This window comes from Homo sapiens, chromosome 1 (assembly GCF_000001405.40).
Source record: "Homo sapiens chromosome 1, GRCh38.p14 Primary Assembly".
Classification (NCBI taxonomy): domain Eukaryota; kingdom Metazoa; phylum Chordata; class Mammalia; order Primates; family Hominidae; genus Homo; species Homo sapiens.
Window position 1 is genome coordinate 186,844,293 of NC_000001.11, and position 22,625 is coordinate 186,866,917.

The following is a 22,625-nucleotide window of genomic DNA, read 5'->3' on the forward strand; positions in this document are numbered from 1 at the left end:
AAACTCTTTGTATAGCCTTAGTTTACAAAAAAAGCACCATCAAATTCACTTAAAAGCTTAAAACTTTAGTGATGTCTTAGTAACTATATATCATTATAAGAATGATGATGATGGAAACATAGTAATATAATGCTCTCTTTGCTTTTAGAATATGCTTCCATATCCAGTATAGTGGAGAAAGCTTTGAATTTGGCAGCGGACAAGTTAGTGTCCAAATGTGTTCTACTTTTAAAAATGTTAATGGATCAAAAAATCAGTGTTTCTATTAAAAATTTATTGTTATCCTTCAGGTATATACCCAGTAATGGGATGGCTGGGTCAAATGGTATTTCTAGTTCTAGATCCCTGTTGGGGGAGCAGGGAGGGATAGCATTAGGAGATATACCTAATGTTAAATGACGAGTTAATGGGTGCAGCACACCAACATGGCACATGTATACATATTTAACAAATCTGCACGTTGTGCACATGTACCCTAAAACTTAAAGTATAATAAAAAAAATTTATTGTTGTATATGAAAATGTACTTGGTGTTTATAAAAGGTGCTCAATAAATTTGCCTACTTGAATTTCTTAGAAATCTCTATAGAGGCCAGGTGCAGTGGCTCACACCTGTAATCCCCTCACTTTGGGAGGCCAAGGCCACACCTGATCACACTGTAATCCCCCAACTTTGGGAGGCCAAGGCAGGTGGATCACTTGAGGTCAGGAGTTTGAGATCAGCCTGGCCAACATGGTGAAAACCCATGTCTACTAAAAATACAAAAATTAGCTGAGCATGATGGTGGGTGCCTGTAGTCCATGCTAGTCGGGAGGCTGAGGCCCCAGAATTGCTTGAACCCAGGAGGCGGAGGTTGCAGTGAGCCAAGATTGCACTACACTCCATCCTGGGTGACAGAGTGAGACTCCATCAAAAAAACAAAACAAACAAACAAACAAAAACTCTCTATAGAATTAAATACTTGTGACTTGCATGAGTTGAGGCAGTTTGAGGGGGATCATCACCAGTTTCATAAACAATGATAATAATAATGATTATTTTGTACATTTATGGCCTTCTAGGTACTGTGCTTGGTGATTTACATATATTTTCTTATTTCATCCTCCCACTGTCTCTGTGAGGATTAGGGGCGATTTTCCCTACGTACAGACAAGGAAACTGAGGGTCAGGATCCCACAGATAGAGAAAGGAGGAGACAGGCTAGAACTTGGGTCATTCTGGCTGCAGTCAAGAAGTTGCTGCCACTTAAATGCTCAACCTTTTAATATCTCCACGCGTCTATACAATGAGTTGGAGGGAAAGAGAAAAGAATCTTTTGCATTCCTATCCCTCTTCCCGCCACATGCCACAACTCTAATAATATCCCCTCTTTTTCCCCTTGTCATATCACTGTACACAGAGAGAGAAGTGACAAAACACTCTAGTCTGGGTTTTTGTTTCTGTTCACTTTTCCTGAGAAGTCCATCTTGCCCTGACAACATGACTAAACGTTTTGGAAAGACCACATACTATTAAACTTTCATTGAATGCCAACAGTTACATTGCATCGGGAAGTATCTGTTGAAAAGTCTATCCAAATTTCCCTCTCATTCATGTTCTGAAAGTTTCTAATTACAGGGCAGGGAAAGGAAAAAAAGAAAGGAAGAAAAAAACCCTGTGAGTTTCACATCTCTTACTTCAGACTTAAGAGACTTTGTACACTCACTAAGACTGGTTATTTAGCTTAGTTATAAGAAACAAAGGAATAGAAACCCTGCTATTTTATGAGTATTCATGAGAGTGGTTGTGCCAACTAGTTGCAGTAAGGTTTCCAGAACTGAGCTAATTCTGGGACAAAAAATTCCTACTGTTTCATGTGGTTAGTTGGACAGAAATGCCTTAATTTTGCAGAAACCTAAAATATCTGCTGCTACTATTAACAGTTACAGAGAGAAAAAAGAAAGGACGGCTGCCTATTCCTAACTGGAATTGGACATGCAGCCACTGCCTGACAATAATGGCTAGTGATTTTTATCCTGAAGGAAGTGATTCTATTTCAGTAATTTCTTCATAGGAGGTCTTTGTTTCTTCCCTTGAACATAACTGTGGAATAAAATTTATAAATATAAATTAGATCTGTTCATATGTATTACATTTTTAAAATAAACTTTATTTTGAAATAATTTAAGATAAGAAATTACAAAAATATTACAGGGCTCTCATGTACCCTTCATTTAGCTTTCCCTAGTGTGACATCTGACAACCACAGTACATTATCAACACCAGGAAACTGACATTGGTACAGTGCTATTAATTAAACGACAAACCTTATTTGGATTCCATTAGTCTTTTATATACATTCAATTTTATCCGGTGTGACAACCTCTACTTTTTTATTAGAATGTTACATCGCTCACATTTAATGTTATTGGAAGCATGGTTGGATGTTCATCTTCCATTTTGCTGTTTTCCATGTCTCTTTTTTTAAATTCTTCTGTTCCTTATATTAAATAGCTATTTTGTCGTGGCCCATTTTAATTCCTTCATTGATATTTTAACTATATTTTTGAGTTATTTTCTTAGTGGTTGCTCTAGGAATTAAACTCTATGCCTTAATTTATTATAGTCCGCTTCATATCAATACTGTCTTAATTCCAGTAAAATACAAAAACTTTTCTGCAGTATAGTTCTAGTCCCTGACCGCTCCTCCTTTTTGCAATTATTGTTGTATACATTAGATAGGATTATAATTTATTGCTATGTAAATGCTATATCTTTTAAAGAATTTGAGAGAAGAAAAGGAAATGTTTATAGAATATTTTATATTAATCTACATATATATTTATATTTGAACAATATAATATTTATAGACTATTTTATATTAACCTACCTATTTACTGTTACAGTTAAATAGAAAAGGCTTCAGAGAAATGGTAAATAACTGGTCTGCTGTTTGAAAATGTGATAGAGCTTATTTACTGGTACCCTGTATTTCTTTCTGTAGGTTCAATTATGATCTGGTGTCATTTCCTTGGTCCAGTATACCTCCATTCCATCTCCTTTCTTTTGTGCTATTATTTCATACGTGTGTGTGTGTGTGTGTGTGTGTGTGTGTCTATAGTTGTTTGCAATAATTCTGCCCGGTTTTGTCAATGTGTTTGTTTTTCTGGGAGAGGATTTCCCACATTCCTCGTTCTGCCATTTTGTAAGCTGGTTCACCTATGTATTGGACTTTAAAGTAGAAGCTTTGGCCAAGACCTTAAGCCATAAGATTTAAGACATGCACTACTAAAATGGATAGTGAAACAGCCTACTCTTTGTGTTTTAAAGAAAGCAGATGGACAAGGACATTTATATAATATATAAAACTTACCCACTTCACAGTTATAAAAGCATTGAAATAGTAGAGATGTGGGAAGAGCTTCAGAAGAGTTTTGTTGTTGTTTTGGAGAGCACTGCTGTGAGTACAGCCCCTCTTCCCTTGGGGTGGAGATCTGGAGAGGAATATGCCTACTAATTCCCAATCAAGAGAGGGGCTTTAAAGAGACCACTGAGAACGCTCATCAGAGGGTTTAACATTTGTCTTCTGCAGTAGGCTGGTGTCTTGTCATACTTGGGAAATATAAAGGACACAAGTAGCAGAATAGTTTCATTTAGGAAGTAATTGCATTCTCAGGGTTTGTTGGAAGAAAGAAAACATGTATGAGTATTGTCCATGGACTAAAGAGAACCCTGGGAAGAATCTTAAATCCTATACAAGGCGTTTGCCTGGTAACATGAAAGAACCTCAGAAAACGAAAACTGGAAGTGGACCACAAGATGCACTGGGGCTGTGGAAAAAAACACAAGCCCCCAGCTGGAGTAGAGATGCGTTTGTGCATGTCAGGGAACACAAGGAAGAAATCTCAAAAACAGAGAATCTCAGAAGAATCCACAAAAAGCATCTATGAAAGAAAGACTCAGCTTTAACATGTACCAAGCCAAGAGATCACAAAACCAGCTTATAAAAGTACTGCTGAAGTAATATTTTTCTTGCCTCTATTCTCGCTCTCTCTGCATCCTTTTCCAACTATAAGGGTTTAAAAACCAGAGTTATCAAGCTTGGGAGGGTTTGACCATAGGCAGGGGAGGGGAGAAGTCAATGACTTCATCCCCTTTCTCCTGCAACAAGCTCTACCTTGAGCAGGAGAGAGACTTTAACTCAACGAACCCGGCATTTCAATGTCTGCAGTGACTGGGTTAATTCTTTTTCTCTTTTCCTTTTTCTTTTCTTCCTTTCACATCCAAGTTAACAGAAAAGTTCTGAGGCTGCCTGAGATTTCATCAGGGTAGAAGGAGAGTTAGCCCTGAATAGAATCAAAGAACAAGACAAAGTTGCTTTGAGATTAAATGCCATGAGTCATGTTTGTTTACTCTCTAGTTATCTTGTAGTTCTTAACCTAGTGATTTTACACACACACACACACACACACATACACACATACATACACACAGAAAGGGGGCAGAGAAGGGAGAGAGAGAAACTAGACTTGGACAGTTAGCTATCTTAAGCATATTTCTTGCTTTGGATTTAATATCAGGAGAGTCTCTATCCAAGTCTTGCTGTAAGATACAGTAGTGGATAATAGGTGGTGAACAGAGTGGTTATGAATGAAGTTGCTGGAAATGAGAAGAGGAAATAAAATTGCTGACATTAAACTTTGGATCCCAGCAACAGATTTCCTCTAAACATTTTGAGTACTAATTTCACCCCCTCTGGAATCTCACTTGTTCTGCTTTTTTTAAATAAATAGAGAGCTAATTTAACATCATTTGACATTAAGAATTGTTAGGAATAAGAAAGAGAGACATCAAAAGAGGGTGTGGCACTATTCTGTGGATTCTTTATGCATCAACCTGGCACTACTTTGAATATCCATCCATCCATTGGACAAATCTTTATTCTGAACCTACTATATTTGGGCCATTGTATTCGGCACTAGGGATGTCTCTATTAATAAGATAAATATGGCCACTGACTTAATGCCTCTTTTGTTCTCCCAGGAAAGACAGACATTGCGTCAGTGGAATGAAAGGCTTGAAGGAGGAGTCTAGAGAACACACAGAACCAGTAACAGGCAGACCAAATATACTTTGAAGGTCACGGAAGGGTTCTCTGTGGAAATGACGTTGAGACTGAATCCTGGAGAATGGGTCAGATTTAGCTAGGTAAACAGTAGTTGCCTAAGAGGTTCAACATGATCTGCCACTGCCTAAATTTCCAACCTCATCATAAGCCACTTTCACGTTTGCTCACCATTCGCCAGCCACTTGTCTTCTCTCAGTTCCTCATACTGCCTGCCTGGAACATTATAGTCTAAACCCACTCTCTCCTCACTCTGCATGGCTAGCTCCTTTTTAGTGCTCACCCTCAATTATTCTTTGTTTCTGCATTTTACTTGTTTCCATCATTTTATACAACTCTATTTCCAATTGTTTCTTTTATTTTTTGGATTCCTTGTTTTCTGATTGCTTTCTAGAGATGGAATCTCCAAGAGGGAAGGGAATGTATCTAGCTCCTCACTTTTGCCTCTCCAGTCCCTTGAACAATGTTTGACACATGGTAGTTATGCCTTAAATGTTTGTTGACTAAATGAATGAATAGAAGAGGTAAGTTACAGCCCTGAGTGGGAAAGAGCTTGACACATTTGAAGGAAAGAAAACCAGTATGGCTTTAGCATAGAAAGCAAAAGGGAAAGTAGTGGTATGGGGCTGAGGAAGTAGATAGAAATTCAATTTTGCAATCTTTTGCACTAGTATTCTTCAAATTGCTGTTAGTGAGTCATGAAATCAATTCAGTGGGCTGTTACCAGCATTTAAACAAAAGTAATAGACTGAAATCAGAGTACATTGTACTTAGCAAAAGTATCACATGAAACTTACTTCTATATTTTAAATATTTGTCTGTGTATATATTTATGTATTGTATTGTGATATGCAAAGGTTTCTTCGTTTTGGTTTGCAGTAAATAGATATAAAAGCCACCATTGTAGACCATGTTAAGGATTTCTGATTTTTCTACTAAGGGAATAGAAACTCATTGATGATATTTTCCCAGAAGAATAGGTTTTAAGATTTCCTTCCAATTGGAGACATTAATCATAATAAACAGTGTTACTACTTTTAGCAACATGCATGCATGAAAAATCAGGCTAGCCTGCATTTATTGCTACCCCTAGATTGCCTCATTTTGTTTCTACAAGGTAAGAAGTCTTATATACTATTGTTTCCCCAGTGCCTACTACAGACTAGGTAGATAGTAAAGATGTATTTGTTGAATGAACAAAGTATCTCCTATGAAGCTACTGTTCGTGAATTGAATGGCCATAAGTCCCAGAAGATGCTCTTCTGCTATGCCATTCTCATTATTACAGCTTTTAACACAGAAAACTTTGGTGAGAATAACTACCAGAATCTTGTTTACTTTTTGAGGTTCCACTTGGAGAGTGTCAAGTATAAAGTCAATAGGGCCACAAAGTTTCATGGTATACACCTGTCTGATTCACCATTTTTTTGCTCCCAAGCACCTTGCATAGCACAAGGCATATTGTAGATATTTATTTTTAAGTGGCAAATATATAAAAAAAACTTATTTTCTACTGTCACAACAATAATTACTACAGATAGTACATCTTTCAAGTAAATATATAATGTTATTAGTGATAAGTCTATGTAATGTTTATCTTAAAAGCAAATCATATGCATTGAATATTTATTATGGGCTAGGTACCTTTCACAGTACTGTTATTCACATTACAAGCAAGTAACCTGGGTCTTAGAATATGAAACTGGAACTTGAATTAAGGTCTTTCTAGATCCCATAACCAATGGTGTTTTCACCAAATTATGCTGCTTCAATAAAGAAAATAATTGGCTTTCCTTAATCCTTTGAATCCCTGATAGTACTGTCCTAGCATTGTCCTACATAGACATTTCAGCTTCTGGAGAGGGAGGACATAAGCTCTCAGGAATTACCACTGCTGCAGCAATCTAAAGGCTTCATGCTCTTGGGCCTAGGAGCTTTATGTGGACCATCATATGCATAGAACGCTTCATATTAAGAAATCACTTCTGAGGGGAAATGATATGAGGGAAATATGGATGGTAAAGATGAAAATGAGGCAGGTGATTTTATGTTATATCATCCATAAAAATATATTCCACCCACAGCTCTAGAGTATTAGCTGGATTCTGACTTGGGAACGGATGTAGTTCTCATACTTTGAATTTAGTTGGCACGAAAACATCAGCCATACTAGTAGAAAGTCATTGCTGATCACTTTAAAAATGTTGTAATAGAAATAGCACAGAAAATGCTGATAATGGGAAGTGCTGAATCGTAAGGATTATATCACTCAATATAGGTATATATTTCTTGTATTATAAATTTAACTATAAATACCAGAGTAAAAATTACTCTATTGTAGTTTTGCCTGTATTGTTTTATAATGTTATCCAATAAATATAAAATGTAGTTTCAAAAATACTTAGAGCCTAATCAAAGACACAATACAGTATAATAGTAAATGGATAATCATGTTTGTAAGATGTGTGTAATATGTAGTTAATTAGGGAAAAATAATAAGAGATAAAGGAGAAACTCATATCGATATTGATTAACAGTGTAAGACAGCATAGTAGAACAGAGGATGAGGGATGAGGGTAATACAACTTATGGATAAATAGAAAATGAACATCCCTTGACTTGAGCAAAATGCTTTAGTGTAACTGGGCTTGAAAATTATCCCTCTTACCTGTATATATATATCCTATCATTCATTCATTATTTAACAAATATGTATTAAGGGCCCACATGTGCCTACACAGGGACTGGAAATTTCACAATGAATGAAACACACAAAAAACCTGCCTTCATAGAATTTATATTCTAATGAAGAAGGGAGAAGAGATAGTAACACAACAAAAACTACATAAGTGGATGTTAGATGGTCATAAAGCAAGAAAGCAGCGGTTTTGCCAATTTTAAATAATACAGTCAGGGAAGACTCCACTGGAAAGATGATATTGGAATAAAATCCTGAAACTTACTAACAATAGCAGCCAGGTCCAATCAAAATAACAGAAATGTGAAAGCTGAGTGCCTTAGTCTGTTTCATGCTGCTATAACAGAATGTGACCCACTGGGTAATTAATAAAGTGAACAAATTTATTGGCTTACAGTTTTGGAAGCTGGGAAGTCCAAGGCCAAGGAGCCAGCAGTTTTGGTGCCTGGTGAGGCTATTCTTTTCTTTCAAGATAGCCATTGTCCAGAGGAGATGAAGGCTGTATCTAAAATATGGCAGAAGGCAAAAGGGCTAAGAGAGAGAGCCCATTCCATGAGCCCCTTTAAAAAGGTATTAAACCCACACATGAAGGTGAAACCCTCATCATCTAATCACCTCTCAAAGGCCCCACCTCCCAATACCATTACATTAGCAATGAAATTTCAACATGATTTTTGGAGGGAATAATAAAACTATAGCACTAAAGTAGTTTATAATTGGTTAATGTTATCAGGAAACTTTTCTATTAGGTTTAAAATAAGAAAACGCAAAACAAAGATTATAGTAATTTATCATGATAAATTAGACTCATAGTTTGGCCTCATCTTTATTTAAAAAGTTGATTTAAAATGCTGTATACATTTTGAGCCTGATTAATATGCATGATAAGATAAAAGTATTTGTACTTTAGGAGCTTAAGAAGTAAGTGATGAAAGTAAATAGACGTTTTACTTTAAAAACATTTTTTTTCTTGTTGGTACAAATAATGATGGTTGATGCACCAGAATGAAGAACGGGGGGAATCCTTATTTTTTATAATTCTTAAATAGAGAACTATGGGTGATTTTTACCATTCATATAATATTGCTTCATATTTTTTACAACCAAATATAGTGAAGAAAGTGAGTTTAAAAACTCAAGAGCGTATTAGAAGATCCCATTTTTTTAAAAAAAAATTTAAATCCTCTCTTTTCCTATTGCTTTAAGTATTAAGAAAAAGCAGTGAAAAGGCCTGGAAAGATACACATCATAATGAAAATGGTGATTACACTTTATTCTTTGTTCACTTCAGCAGTTTTTGTTTGTGACAATGAGCAGGAATCATTTTTATATTTTTTTAAAGTTGATGTTTAAAAAGAAAGATCACTAAAAATTTAAAACGAATTTGATTTATTTTGAAATAAAAACATTTTAGAATTTACATATTAAAGATAGATAATAAAGATATTTGAAAAGGTATTCCAAATTAGATGTAACTTATAAAATGCTGAAATACAAGTGTATGTTGTTTTATGAAATCTCAAGGACTTGGTATAATGGAATAGCAAAGATGTTCATTCATTAAATAGTTTTTTATTTGATTTTAAATAACAGAGTAAGTGTAGAAGAAAAAAGGAAAGTATAGAGAGTATTTTTCCATTAAAATATTTTTATTTAACTGCTTCCAAATTAAACTGGTGTCTTCAAATGAACAAACATTTCTTTAAAAATGTCATTACTAAAGTTCAAATTCAACATGAATGTACTTTTATAATTCCTAACGAATAGCTAAGGTGAAAATATCTTTCTTTTTTATTGTGAATTTGTATATTGCTGACCCTACTGAGAAAACAATGACATGTGGCTTAATTATGATATAAACAGTACAAAAATAATTTTAAGTTTCCGTAATTTCAACATATTTCTCATAAAATACTTGGCAAATGAAAAGCAACACAAGCCCTGTAGTTTCCTAATAATTATTCACAGTATAAATTTGAACAAGTAAATATGGAAAATAAACAGTATCATCCAAACATGTTTACCTTTTCTCTAAGTGATGTGTGATAACCCATTCGTATACACAGGGAACTCAACCTATCTAGTGTCCTTGGGTAGACTTTTTCTTCCTAAGACGCATACTCATAATTGTTTAAATCTTAGAACTGCATCCAAGAGGAAGCTTAACAATAGTGATTGTTTATTTTGTAGGTTTTAAAGACGCTAGAGTGCCAAAGAAGACTTTGAAGTGTGAAAACATTTCCTGTAATTGAAACCAAAATGTCATTTATAGATCCTTACCAGCACATTATAGTAAGTCATTCACTGTTTATGAATTCTTTCTTGGAGGGGGTCTGATATGTTTCTGTGAATATTGCGGGTGTTGCTAGTAAAGTCAAACTGTGACAACTTCTGCATTTGTTATTAAACTCATATGAACTTAATATAATACAAAGAGGCTATGGAACATAATAAAAATAATTTATCTCTTCATTTTATTACTGTAAGTTTCCAGAAAAGAGGAACTTGAAAGGAAAAAAATACCCAAACACCATAATAATAATGGAACAATAAAAAATGTTGTTATCACTTAGCAATCATCAGCCTGCATAGTTTACACCCTTCACATGAGTTGGTGGAAAGAAGAATAAAAGTAAAAGAATTTCTGAGTTTAGGGCTATGTTATGGTTTGCATTTTCAGGGCAATTAATTCTATAAACTTTCCCTTAGTTAGATATGTTTAAATAAATTCTTCTATGGGTGCTTAATTTTAGTGAAGAGTTAAGTAATTCAAATTTTAGTACATAATTTTCCGAACTCCAGTGGAAGTATACATGCTCTCTTCTGGTCAATAAACAGAAGGGAGATTTCCTTACTGAATTCAACATTTGAGACTCAGGTTTATAAGAAGTAGATAAAGGTTTTATGGATATTTAAGGAGTAATCCATAGCCTCATTTTTACTTGAAATAAAATGCTGTTTTCTTACTCTGCATCCATTTCTAGATATCATCCTCTTTCTTGCCCTCCTTGGATGAAAAGTTTAATATATTATAATTATTTGTAATGTCTTCTTCCTGTCCATTCACAACTTGAATCATTGACCTGGACTCAGCCCTTCCACTTCACAAAAAGGTCTAATTAATTGGCTTCTTTGGTGTTAAATCCAATAAACTCTTCAGTCCCCCCACTCCTTCTACCCAACTCTGCTGCTCATTACTGTTTTCTTGAAACTCTTCTCAGATTTTTCTGGTTTTGTTTCTTCTGTTTCCTTGCTGTTGGTTACTTCTCAGTTTTCTTATGCAAGCTCTTCTTTCTGTCTGACTCTCTTTTTTTAATAAATTGAGGTATAATATACATAAAGTGCATAAATCTTAATTGTTAAGCTTGATGGATTTTTACATATGTATTCCACCCACGAAACCATCACTCAGATTATAAGTACCCAGGAAGACTTGCTCATATACCTTCTAGTCAATAACTTGCCTCAAAGGTAGCCAATATTTTACCTCTATTATCATGGGTAAGTTCTGCTTATTTTTGACCTTCATATACATTTCTGCATTCAACGTTGTGTCTATGAGATTCATTCATGTTGTTGTGAGTAGCACACTTCCACACTTTTACATTGCCTTGTGGTTTTTCATCATTTGAATGTCACAAGCTATTTATTTAATCTACTGATAACCATCATATTCTTTTTGAATGGCAATGGTGATTTCCTATAAATCAGGCTACCATATATGTGTGGCTTCATTTCTTTTCCGTTTTATTAGTCAGATAGTCTGTGTTTGCCCCAATACCAATCTATCCTAATTTCTGTAGTTTGCGCCAATACTAATCTATCCTAATTTCTGTAGCTTTAAAATATGTCTTTATGTATGGCAATGTAAATCCTCCAATTTTTTCTTCTTCAAGAATATCCTGTCTAGTTATAGTTCTTTGCATTTCCATATAATTTTTGGATTCATTTTGCCAATTTACACACACAAACACACACACACACACTCATGCATGCATGTACACGCACATGCACACAAAATTGCTGGGATTTTGGTTGGGACTGTAATGATTCTACAGAGGAGAGATAATATGATAACAATATTGAGTCTTCCAATCCATTAACAAACCATGAATCTCATCCACAACTAAACGTTACTTAATTTTATCTTTAACTATCTCAGTAATGTATTATAGTTTTCTTTAAGAAATCTTGTGTGTATATATATATATACATATTTTATATGTATTTTTTGATATTTGATGTTTTAATGTAATTGTAAAAGTATTTGCAAACTTTATTTTCCAATTAGTTGTTGCTTTTTTTTTTTTTTGAGATGGAGTCTCACTCTGTTGCCCAAGCTGGAATGCTGTAGTGCTATCAGAGCTCACTGCAACTACCATCTCTCGGGTTCAAGCAATTCGCGTGACTTAGCCTCCCCTGTAGCTGGGATTATAGGCGTCCACTACCATGCCTGGCTAATTTTCTTGTATTTTTAATAGAGACGGAGTTTTGCCATGTTGGCCAGGCTGGTATTGAACTCCTGATTGTTTATGTTTAGCAGAAAAATATGAAAAAATTATTTATAATAACCATAAGATAATGTAAGCCTACAGTGTAAGGGCTCTGATAAGAGACAATGAAGATCACTCTGGAGTACATAACAGGAAGAATTAATAACAGGAATCCTTCTGGAAAGGATTTCTAGGGGAAGTAAGATGTCAGCATAGACCTGAAGGTTAGCAGAAATTTGTCAGTTAAAGAGAGAGAAAATGACTTTTCTGAATTGGAAAAAATAAGCATATGTGAAGTAGTCTGAAGGCGGGATATAATAGTACATGATTCAAGGAAATGAAAGAAGTTCAGTATGGTTGGAACACAAAACATTTCAAAAAATATGATTATTTTGAATGACTTTAACTCTTCTACTTGATCTGACCAGGCCTTATTACTGACTGCCATGCAGCCCCCACATGTGTCTGCCATGCAGCCCCCACATATATTATACATATATAATATATAATATAATTATATAATTATATAATATTCTATAATATATATTATATAATTATATAATTACATAATATAATATAATTATATAATATGTCTGCCATGTTAAAAGAAGAAACTGAATGGCCAGTTCACCAGATCATCTGGCAAGACACATGTGGGGGCTGCATGGCAGTCAGTAATAAGGCTGACTGCCTTATATTATATGTATATATTATATTTATATTATATGTAATATAATATAAATATAATATTATATATATTATAAATATAATATTATATTCATATGTATTATATAAATGTAATATAATATATAATATATATTATATAATGTATAATATATACTATATAAATATATAATATAATATATAATATATAACATGTATAATATATATACAATATATAACATAATATACTATATATAATATATAATATAATATAACTATAGAATATAATATGAATATATAATATAAATTATAATATTAATATAAATATAAAATATATTATATATATTTAGTTTTTACATTTTTTAAAATTAAACTTTAAGTTCTAGGGTACATGTGCACAACGTGTAGGCTACATAGGTATATATTTGCCATGGTGGTTTGCTGCACCTATTAACTCATCATTTACATTAGGTATTTCTGCTAATGCTATCCCTTCCCCAGCCCCCCACACCCCTGACAGGCGTTGGTGTGTGATGTTCCCCGCTCTGTGTCCAAGTGATCTCATTGTTCAGTTCCCACCTATGAGTGAGAACACTTGGTGTTTGGTTTTCTGTTCCTGTGTTAGTTTGCTGACAATGATGGTTTCCAGCTTCATCCATGTCCCTGCAAAGGACATGAACTCATCCTTTTTTGTGGCTGCATAGTATTCCATGGTGAATATGTGCCACAGTTTCTTAATCCAGTCTATCATTCATTGGTGAACATTTGAGTTGGTTCCAAGTCTTTCCTATTGTGAATAGTGCCACAATAAACATACATGTGCATGTGTCTTTATAGTAGCATGATTTATAATCCTTTGGGTTTATACTCAGTAATGGGATTGCTGGGCCAAATGGTAATTCTAGCTCTAGATCCCTGAGGAATCGCCACACTGTCTTCCACAATGGTTGAACTAGTTTACAGTCCCACCAACAGTGTAAAAGCATTCCTATTTCTCCACATCCTCTCCAGAATCTGTTGTTTCCTGAGTTTTTTATGATTGTCATTCTAACTGGCGTGAGATGGTTTCTCATTGTGGTTTTGATTTGTATTTCTCTGATGACCAGTGATGATGAGCATTTTTTCATGTGTCTGTTGGCTGCATAGATGTCTTCTTTTGAGAAGTGTCTGTTCATATCCTTTGCCCACTTTTTGATAGGGTTGTTTTTTTCTTGTAAATTTGTTTGAGTTCTTTGTAGATTCTGGATATTAGCCCTTTGTCAGATGGGTAGACTGCCAAAATTTTCTCCCATTCTGTAGGTTGCCTGTTCACTCTGATGGTAGTTTCTTTTGAATGGCAGAGTATATTTAAAAATCAAACTTCATCTGGACATCTAAGGTTCAGCACTGGGACCTTTTCTTGAAAATTTTGTTAACTATAGCAACATATTTAGGCTATAGTAATTACCTATGTGGTAATATTATATTATACCATATTACAAAACATGAATAAACCATATATTGGTATCATGTTTTTCGTTAGTTTCTCCAACATCAGGCTTAGACAGCAACTAGCATTCTAATTTATAGCCCTTTTAAATGAAGAGATCTGTGAGCTTTACAGTTTTCTTTATTCTTCTTATTCTCGCTATGTGTATATGGAAAAAAAACCAACTGTGGGTGTGTGCGTGTGTGTGTGTGTGTGTGTGTAAATTGTTTTAAAAAAAATTTCCTGCTCTGATTTTCACAGAAAGATATTTTTCAAAATATATAAATGAGCAAGCACACTCAACACTGAATGATATTAGTGAAAGGGAAAGTTGAGTGAATCAAGCCAGCTTACTATTAATAGTAATGAGCTCTTGGTGCCAAACAGGCTAACACAGCTTTGGTTGCCTCAAGGCCAGGAGACTGGGCTCATTTTCACCATTCCTGTGATGCAGGGACATGTTGGAGAATCCTGTGGGCTGATGCAGCAATTTGCAGCCAGCAAGCTCTCTTGCTTCCAATGGTGCTTGGATTTTAAGAAGCTGGTAGGAAAACAGAGTGACAAATACATGACAGAATTTAGTTTCCTTATGTTTAGAATCATTACGAGGTGCCTTCCAACCTCAAGGATTTTTGTGCCTTCAAAATTTATTGAAGTTTTTTATTTTTTTGACCAGGAGCCATGAATTTTACAAGAAGAAGTCAAGTATAAAATATTTATAACATTTTCCATCTTTTTACTCTGAAAATGTGAGTCATATCCCTGAAGTGAAAAAATTCACACCTCTTTCTGCCACCTATTAACAATGGAGGGGCACTGCTCCACATCCCACAGAAACTAAGGTTGTCTTCACATTAGGGACAGTAAACCATGTGGATATGGCAGCATGATTGCATAGTAAAATACAAGGGCTTTCAAAAATATAATTGTAGGATGACTGGAAATTTTACCAAAAATATAGAAAGCTATTATTCAGATTATTACAGTAACACAGGAAAGAAAACCACCACTGAATAAGTAATCAAAGAACTAGTGTTCTGGTAGGAGTTCTAGTCTTAACCAGTTACATGATCATGGACACGTAGACTCTGACTTTTACCTGCCTCATCTGGAAAATAGGGTATGAATAGGACCTGCTGTGTCTGCTTCACAGAGCTTTTATAAATAGTAAATTGTTATGTGCACAAAATTATTCCTTTGAAATAATGAAATAAGATATTTTTAGAAAAGTTAGATGATGAGATGTCGCTACTAGAAAATCATAAATATGAAAGTGGTAGAACTATTATTACAAAAGCACAGGACTGTAAATGAGTTAATAATGAGTTTTTTGGCAAATAGAATTTCTTTGAGCACTAAAAATCTAGAAAAATGAGGAAGAAGAAAGCTAGTGTATTAGGGTTCTCTAGAGGATCAGGACCAATAGGAGATATTAATTTATTAAGTATGTGGTATTAATTAATTTATTATGACAAACAGGAGATATTAATTTATTAATTTATTATGAGACATTAATTAATTGATAATTGATTAATGATTGGCTCACACAATTATGGAGGCTGAGCAGTCCTACGATCTGCCATCTCAAGCTGGAAATGCTGTAAAGTTGGGGTGTATTTTGGTCTTAGTCTGAAGGCCTGAGAACCAGGGGAGCTGATAACGTAAATCCCAATCTGAGGGCAGGACAAAATGCAAGGAGCTGTCTCGCTCAGTGAGGTGAGAATAAATGGGGGTGAATTCTTCCTTCTTCCACCTCTGTTCTGTTTGGGCTCTCAACAAATTGGGTGATGCCCAACTGCATCCAGGAGGGCAATCTACTTTACTGAGACCACTGATTCAAATGGTAATGTCGTTTAGAAATACCCTCACAGGCACACCTAAAAACAATGTTTAATCTGGACAACACATGGCCTACCGAAATTGATGTGTAAAATTAATCATCACAGCTAATGGTAAACTTCTAACTTTTCCTTGATATCAGCCATGCCCTGCCACAAGCCTCCCTTAGGAGGCAAAAGTGCACTAATTCAAAGTAATGTCCATGTTTCTGCTTCTTTACCACACAACATAGATCAGAAATTCCTAGAAAGTCACTGGGTTTATGTTTCCGTTCTCAAATTTCTTTTTGGTTCTTTTTAAAATCTTCTCAGCCATTTTTTATACTCCCAGTTCCATATAGTCATATTTCAATTTGACTTTCTTTTCCTTGAACATCGTAAGTATAGTATAGCTGATTAATGGATGGGTTTATTTCTGTGCCTGTTGATTAATTATGCTAGTTTGTAGTCTTGGTGACATGACTCGTTATATTCCCAGTTATCTTTGATTTTGTGTTGAACATTATGGTGAAAAATAGAAGTAATCCTTTAGAGATAACTTATTTGCTTCCGTCAGGCCCCTGGGGACACTAGCAGTTTGGGACAAATGTAATCCCAGTTCCAGATTGGTTTTCTGGGCAGCTTGTATTACATTAAAATGGGTTACCAGTACATGGAAAGGATGTTCATGCTTAGTCCTATGTCACAGTCTATGGAGATTTTACTTTGAAACAGGAGTGTGGTTTACCAGCGACCTTATCCTTAGAACGCCGAGGAATCTCTCAAGGCTGTGCAGTCTCTCCATTCTCTCCTCTTCCGGATCAGCAAATGCCCCTATGGCAAAACTGAGCTCACCTCTCTGGGTTTTTGTGCTCTTTTTCACCTTTGCTCTCTGCCTTGGTAGTTAATGCTTTCCTATCTAGTTAGTTCTTTCCTACTTTTAGGAAAATGTTTATTTTTAAAAAACATTGTCCAGTTTATAGTTACTTTTAGTGGGCAATGGTCACCCAGATTACTTAATCTGCTGTTATCATGAGTGGAATTCCCTCATTACTTCTTTCACAGTCAGTCAGTAGTGCCTCCAGACAATCCCAAAAAGTTGGATAATCATCCTATTTTATAGGAGTTCCACAGATGCTAAAGTCATCCCCCAAACTTGACATTCAACACTGCCCTATGTGAAATTCTAATGTTGGAGTCTGGATTTGTGCCAGGGAACCCTTGAGAAAATCCTGTGTTATTGGCCAGACTGTTGGTTCTTCACCATATGACAGTTATTTTCTACATCTAGAATGTGGATCTTCACTGCTCAGTAACATGAGATAAATAAAGGAAGGACTCCTCCCCATTGAAGGCTGTGTGCTCAGAGTAAGAAAACCTCATTTTACCCACGATATCATTTTATTTAGTGTATAATATTAAGTAAAATAATATATTTAATTTATATATAATTATATACCAATGTAATATATTATTATTAACATGAGTGTAGAAATAATAAAAATATTGAAAACTTTACTTTTCAATTTTCAGTTATTTTTATATATTGTCATTTAATTCTCAGAAAAATCATATGAAGTTGGTTTTCTGATTGCCTTTTTATATATGAAGAAACAAAAACAGAAAATATAAGAGACTTTATTGTAAATGCCTTTCTGACTTATGTCTGTCTCTTTTAGTTATGAACTTTTTTTTTGAGACAGGGTCTCACACTGTCACCCAGGCTGGAGTGCAGTGGTGAGATCTTGGCTCATTGCAGCCTCTGCCTCCCGGGTTCAAGCGATTCTCTTGCCTCAGTCTCCCAAGTAGCTGGGATTACAGGCGTGGGCTACCACGCTCAGCTACTTTTTTGTATTTTTAATAGCGATGGTCACCATGTTGGCCAGGCTGGTCTGAAACTCCTGACCTTAAGTAATCCACCTTCCTCAGTTTCCCAAAGTGCTGGGATTACAGGCCTGAGCCATCGCGCCTGGCCTGAACCTTTTATTTGTTGCTTAATGAAAAGAACAAGTAAAGCAGGGAGGTTTTTAAGAAGTTCCTCAAAATAGGGATAAAATATCTAAAATAGTATTTGTTAGCATATCCATATTTTCAAGTGTATTGGATCTATTAGCCTTAAGGTTCACATTTGAAAACCATCTGTGCAAAGACATCTTAGATCTTCATGAACATGACATATCATCTAGGGCAGTAATTCTAAACCAAATAAATATGACTTCCCCAAAGCGCCAAGGATGTGTGAGAAAAACTTTTCAAATGTACATGCTACTTCATGTGTTCTAATGAGCTCCTCTAGAAAGGTGAAGGTGCACCTGTTTTTCACAGTCCACTCAGTCACTGTTACTCCAGAAGAATGTAGATTTCCTCATAAGTATTGAGGTAGGAAAAGGCTGATGTTCACACTTTTTTTGTGTGATGCTATAGATATTTAGTTACCATTGGACTAGAATCTATATTACACTTAAAATTTAGGTGCTAGATATTTGGGCAGTTGTTTCATTTCAATGTTTTAAGGATATTATAGTCACTATAAACTCATGATGAATATATCATTAAGTAAATATTTTACCATTTTCTTTTTTAAAGACAGGGTCTGCTATATTGCCTAGGCTGGCCTCGAACTCCTGGGCTCAAGCGATCCTTCTGTCTGAGCCTCTCAGGTAGCTGTAACTACAGGTGTACACCATGGCACCCAGTTAAATTAGAACTTTAGAACCAAGCTATTAACATTAATATTTTCTTGTACTGGTTTTCACTGCTAGAGCAATCCCTGCAATCTTTTTCCTTTTTTGTTTGACACTTCACTTTTTAAAATTCTGTTTTTAATTGACACATAGTAATTATATATATTTATGGGGTACAGTATGATGTTCCATTGTATTATACATTGTGTAATAATTAAATCAAGATTTGTAGCATATTCATCATCTCATACATTTATCACATCTTTGTGGTGAGCACATTAAAAATCTTCTCTTCTATTTTGAAATATGCAGCATGTTACTATTAACCATAGTCATCCTGCTGTGCTATAGAACACCAGTACTTATTTCTCCTACCTAACTTTTTACCCGTTTACCATTCTCTCCCCCATTTTCTCCTTCCTCCTATCTTCCCTAGCCTCTGGTAACCACTATCTTACTCTCTACTTCTATGGCATCAACTTCTTTAGATTCCACATATGGGTAGATGTTGTGCTATTTGTTTTTCTGTGCAAATATATAATTTTTTTTTTTTTTTTGGGGACAGAGTCTCCCTCTTTTGCCCAGACTGGAGGGCAGTGGCATGATCTCAGCTCACTGTAACCTCCGCCTCCCGGGTTCAAGCCATTATCCTGTCTCAGCCTCCTGAGAAGCTGGGATTACAGGTGCCTGCCACCACGCCTGGCTAATTTTTTATATTTTTAGTAGAGATGGGGTTTCACCATATTGGCCGGGCTGGTCTTGAACTCCTGACCTCAGGTGATCCACCTTCCTCGGCCTCCCTCCCAAAGTGCTGGGATTAAGGCATGAGCCACCACTCCTGACCGCAAATATGTAACTATTTAGCATAATGTCCTCCAGGTTCATCCCTGTTGGAACAAATGACAGGATTTCCTTCTTTCTTATGGTTGAATAGTATTCCATTGTGTATATGTACCACTTTTATTTATCCATTCATCCATTGATGGGCACTTAGGTTGATTCCACATCTTGATTATTGTGAATGATGTTGCAATAAACATGGGAGTGCAGATTCATCCTTGACACTCTGCTTTCATTTCCTTTAGATATATGCCCAATAGTAGGATTGCTGGACCATATGGTAGTACCATTTTTAATTTTTTTGAAAAACCTCCATACTGTTTTACACAATGGCTATACAAATTTAGTTTTCCACCAACAGTGTATAAATGTTTCTCTTTCTCTACATCTATGCCAGCATTTGTCATTTTTGTGGTTTTTTTAATGGCAATTCTAGTTGGGATGAGGTAATATCTCATCGTGGTTTTGATTTGCATTTCCCTGAGGATAAGTGATGTTGAGCATTTTTTCATATACTTGTTGGCCATTTGAGTGTCTTCTTTTGAGAAATGTCTATTTAAGTCTTTTACTTGTTTTAAAAATCAGATTATTATTATTATTATTATTATTATTTTGTTATTGAGTTGAGTTCCTTATATATTCTGGATACCAGTCCCTATACTCGTGATTAAAAGAGGACTTAAAATCTTCTTACTGCAATAAGAATGCACTCTATATTTGCTTTTATTTTTAAAAATATATACAACTATAGGCCAGGTGTGGTGGCTCATGCCTGTAATCCCAGCACTTTGGGAGGCTGAGGTGGGCAGATTGCTTGAGCCTAGGAGTTTGACACTAGCCTGGCAAGCAAGGCAAAATCCCATCTCTACAAAAACAAAAACAAAAAACAAAAATTAGCTGGGTTTGGTGGTGTGTGCTTGTAATCCAAGCTACTTGGGAGGCTGAGGTCGGAAGATCATCTGATCCACTGAACTCTAGCCTGGGTGATAGAATGAGACTCTGTCTAAATAAAATAAAATAAAAATATATACATATATATATATATAAAATATAATATATTGCCAAACTTAATGTATATACTTGTGCAGGTGATAAATTTCTTGTTCAAGGGGAGAAGAATCTCAAGTCATATTTCTGATTTTGATTTTCTTTTAGTGATGTCTTCTAGAGCTAACAAATTATGTTCCAAATTAGGTGTTTTGAGCATTGAGATAATTTCTGCACATGGCCAACCCATGTCTGAGAATTTTTAAAAAAAGATTAGATAGTATTGTTAGACTAAAAATAGATAATGCTGATCATTCTTTAAAAAGTGTAGGTGAATAATAGCAAAATGACTGTGCTTCACAGTTATATTAGAATGAAACTCCACACCTGAAAGCGAAACTGAAAATAAGTATCTTACCAAAAAAACCTCAGGATTTATTAATGACATCAATGCAACTATTAAAAAAAATTTCTGAGAAGGTGCCTATTGCCAGTTGTGGTGATCATAATCTCTGGGTTCAGTAATCACACATCATAGTCTTTGTCATACTAACAGTTTTAGTTTTAAAAATTAGGCAAAGTTAGGTTGAATAGAGAAAAACAATATTTGCATTCAGAATCTACTTTATTTTCCATCAACTTTATTTTATGATTGTTTCTTTGGTTCTTGTCTTATAACAGTAGAGTTTTAAACAGATTAGGAAGATCATCAAATTGATTTGGTATAAATTGGTTCTTTTTTTCAATGCCAATCATAGTTACATATATCAATATACTTATCCAGAATGAATTTAATACAGTAGCTGTTTTCCTACTGAATAGAAAATTGTAATTTTGAAATGAAAAATTGTCTTGGTTTTTACTATAGAAATGATTTTAAATGCAGAAAGACACTCAAAGTAATCCAAAACCTGAAGGCAAAGCTTAATCTTTGTGACTAAGTCGGATTGAGCTTAGATTTGACATCTCAATTGAAATATGACATCTCTCTCTGCCAACTACCAGCCACCATTGTCCTGAGTCATTAGTTTCCCTTGGAGAATATTGGTTGTGAATTCAGTAATATAATTTCCTCTGGCACTATCCGTGAGATATAACCAAACATCTCCTATCCAAGTTGAAACCTAGTGCAGTCTGGACTAGTTTGAAATTGCATGTGATAGTGGCCCCAGGAAACATGGTAAGCGGTTCTCAAAAGACTATTTGGATAATCATCGATTGAAACTGAACATCTTTCTCCAAGAATATGTGCTTACTTTATTATAGTTACTCTCTTATTAATCCTTAAAGCTCTTATAAAGAGATGGGCACAGACACAGAACAGCAAGGCTGAATTCTAGTAAAAGTTCACCATTTACTATCTATGAGTAACTGGGAAATTACTGAGCCTCTCAGAGTCTCATTTTACTCATTTATAAATATAATCACACCTATTCTTTAGGGTTGTTTGGAATATTAAATGACAGTTGGTGTCTAGTAGAATGTATGACATATGGTTCACATTCAATGAGTCCTTATAATAAAAACAATCTTTTTGTACATGTTATTAATAACATTTAGAATATGAATATATTTGCAGCAACTTCAAAAATCAAATATTAAATAATGGATAAAAAATATTGCTCATAGTTTTTATGATACAAGGAAGGTTCCTAGGTATTTGAAAACCCATGTAATATTAGAAGTTCTTAGATATGCAAAAAAGCATAGATGATTTTGGGAGGGGAGCATCATTATGTATAATAATTATTATTGAGATGGTTCCTTTTGTGGAGAAAGCTAATTTTTAAGTTAGATTTTCAAGAGCATTTTCTCATTGTATTTCAGGCCCAGTTATCATCTGTGTAGATTCATTTTCTGCATGTGGATG

The 22,625-nt window shown here is 34.9% G+C and overlaps 1 protein-coding gene across 4 annotated transcripts in view, besides 1 other annotated feature; it reads left to right on the forward strand.

Annotated features, from left to right (window-relative positions):
• PLA2G4A (phospholipase A2 group IVA) overlaps nt 1-22,625 on the forward strand; it is a 160,033-nt gene that overhangs the window by 15,344 nt on the left and 122,064 nt on the right. For all 4 annotated transcript variants that reach the window (XM_011509642.3, NM_024420.3, NM_001311193.2 and 1 more), the window contains exon 2: nt 9,994-10,095. In XM_011509642.3, the coding sequence (XP_011507944.1) occupies nt 10,063-10,095 (33 nt within the window). In that variant the 5' untranslated portion in view covers nt 9,994-10,062. The remainder of the gene's footprint in view (nt 1-9,993; nt 10,096-22,625) is intronic.
• Nucleotides 5,193-5,242: a silencer, noted in NCBI's record as "silent region_1649". NCBI's record gives its function as "represses an Ori minimal core promoter by ATAC-STARR-seq in GM12878 lymphoblastoid cells {active_cell/tissue: GM12878}" and the evidence as "EXISTENCE:reporter gene assay evidence [ECO:0000049][PMID:35858748]".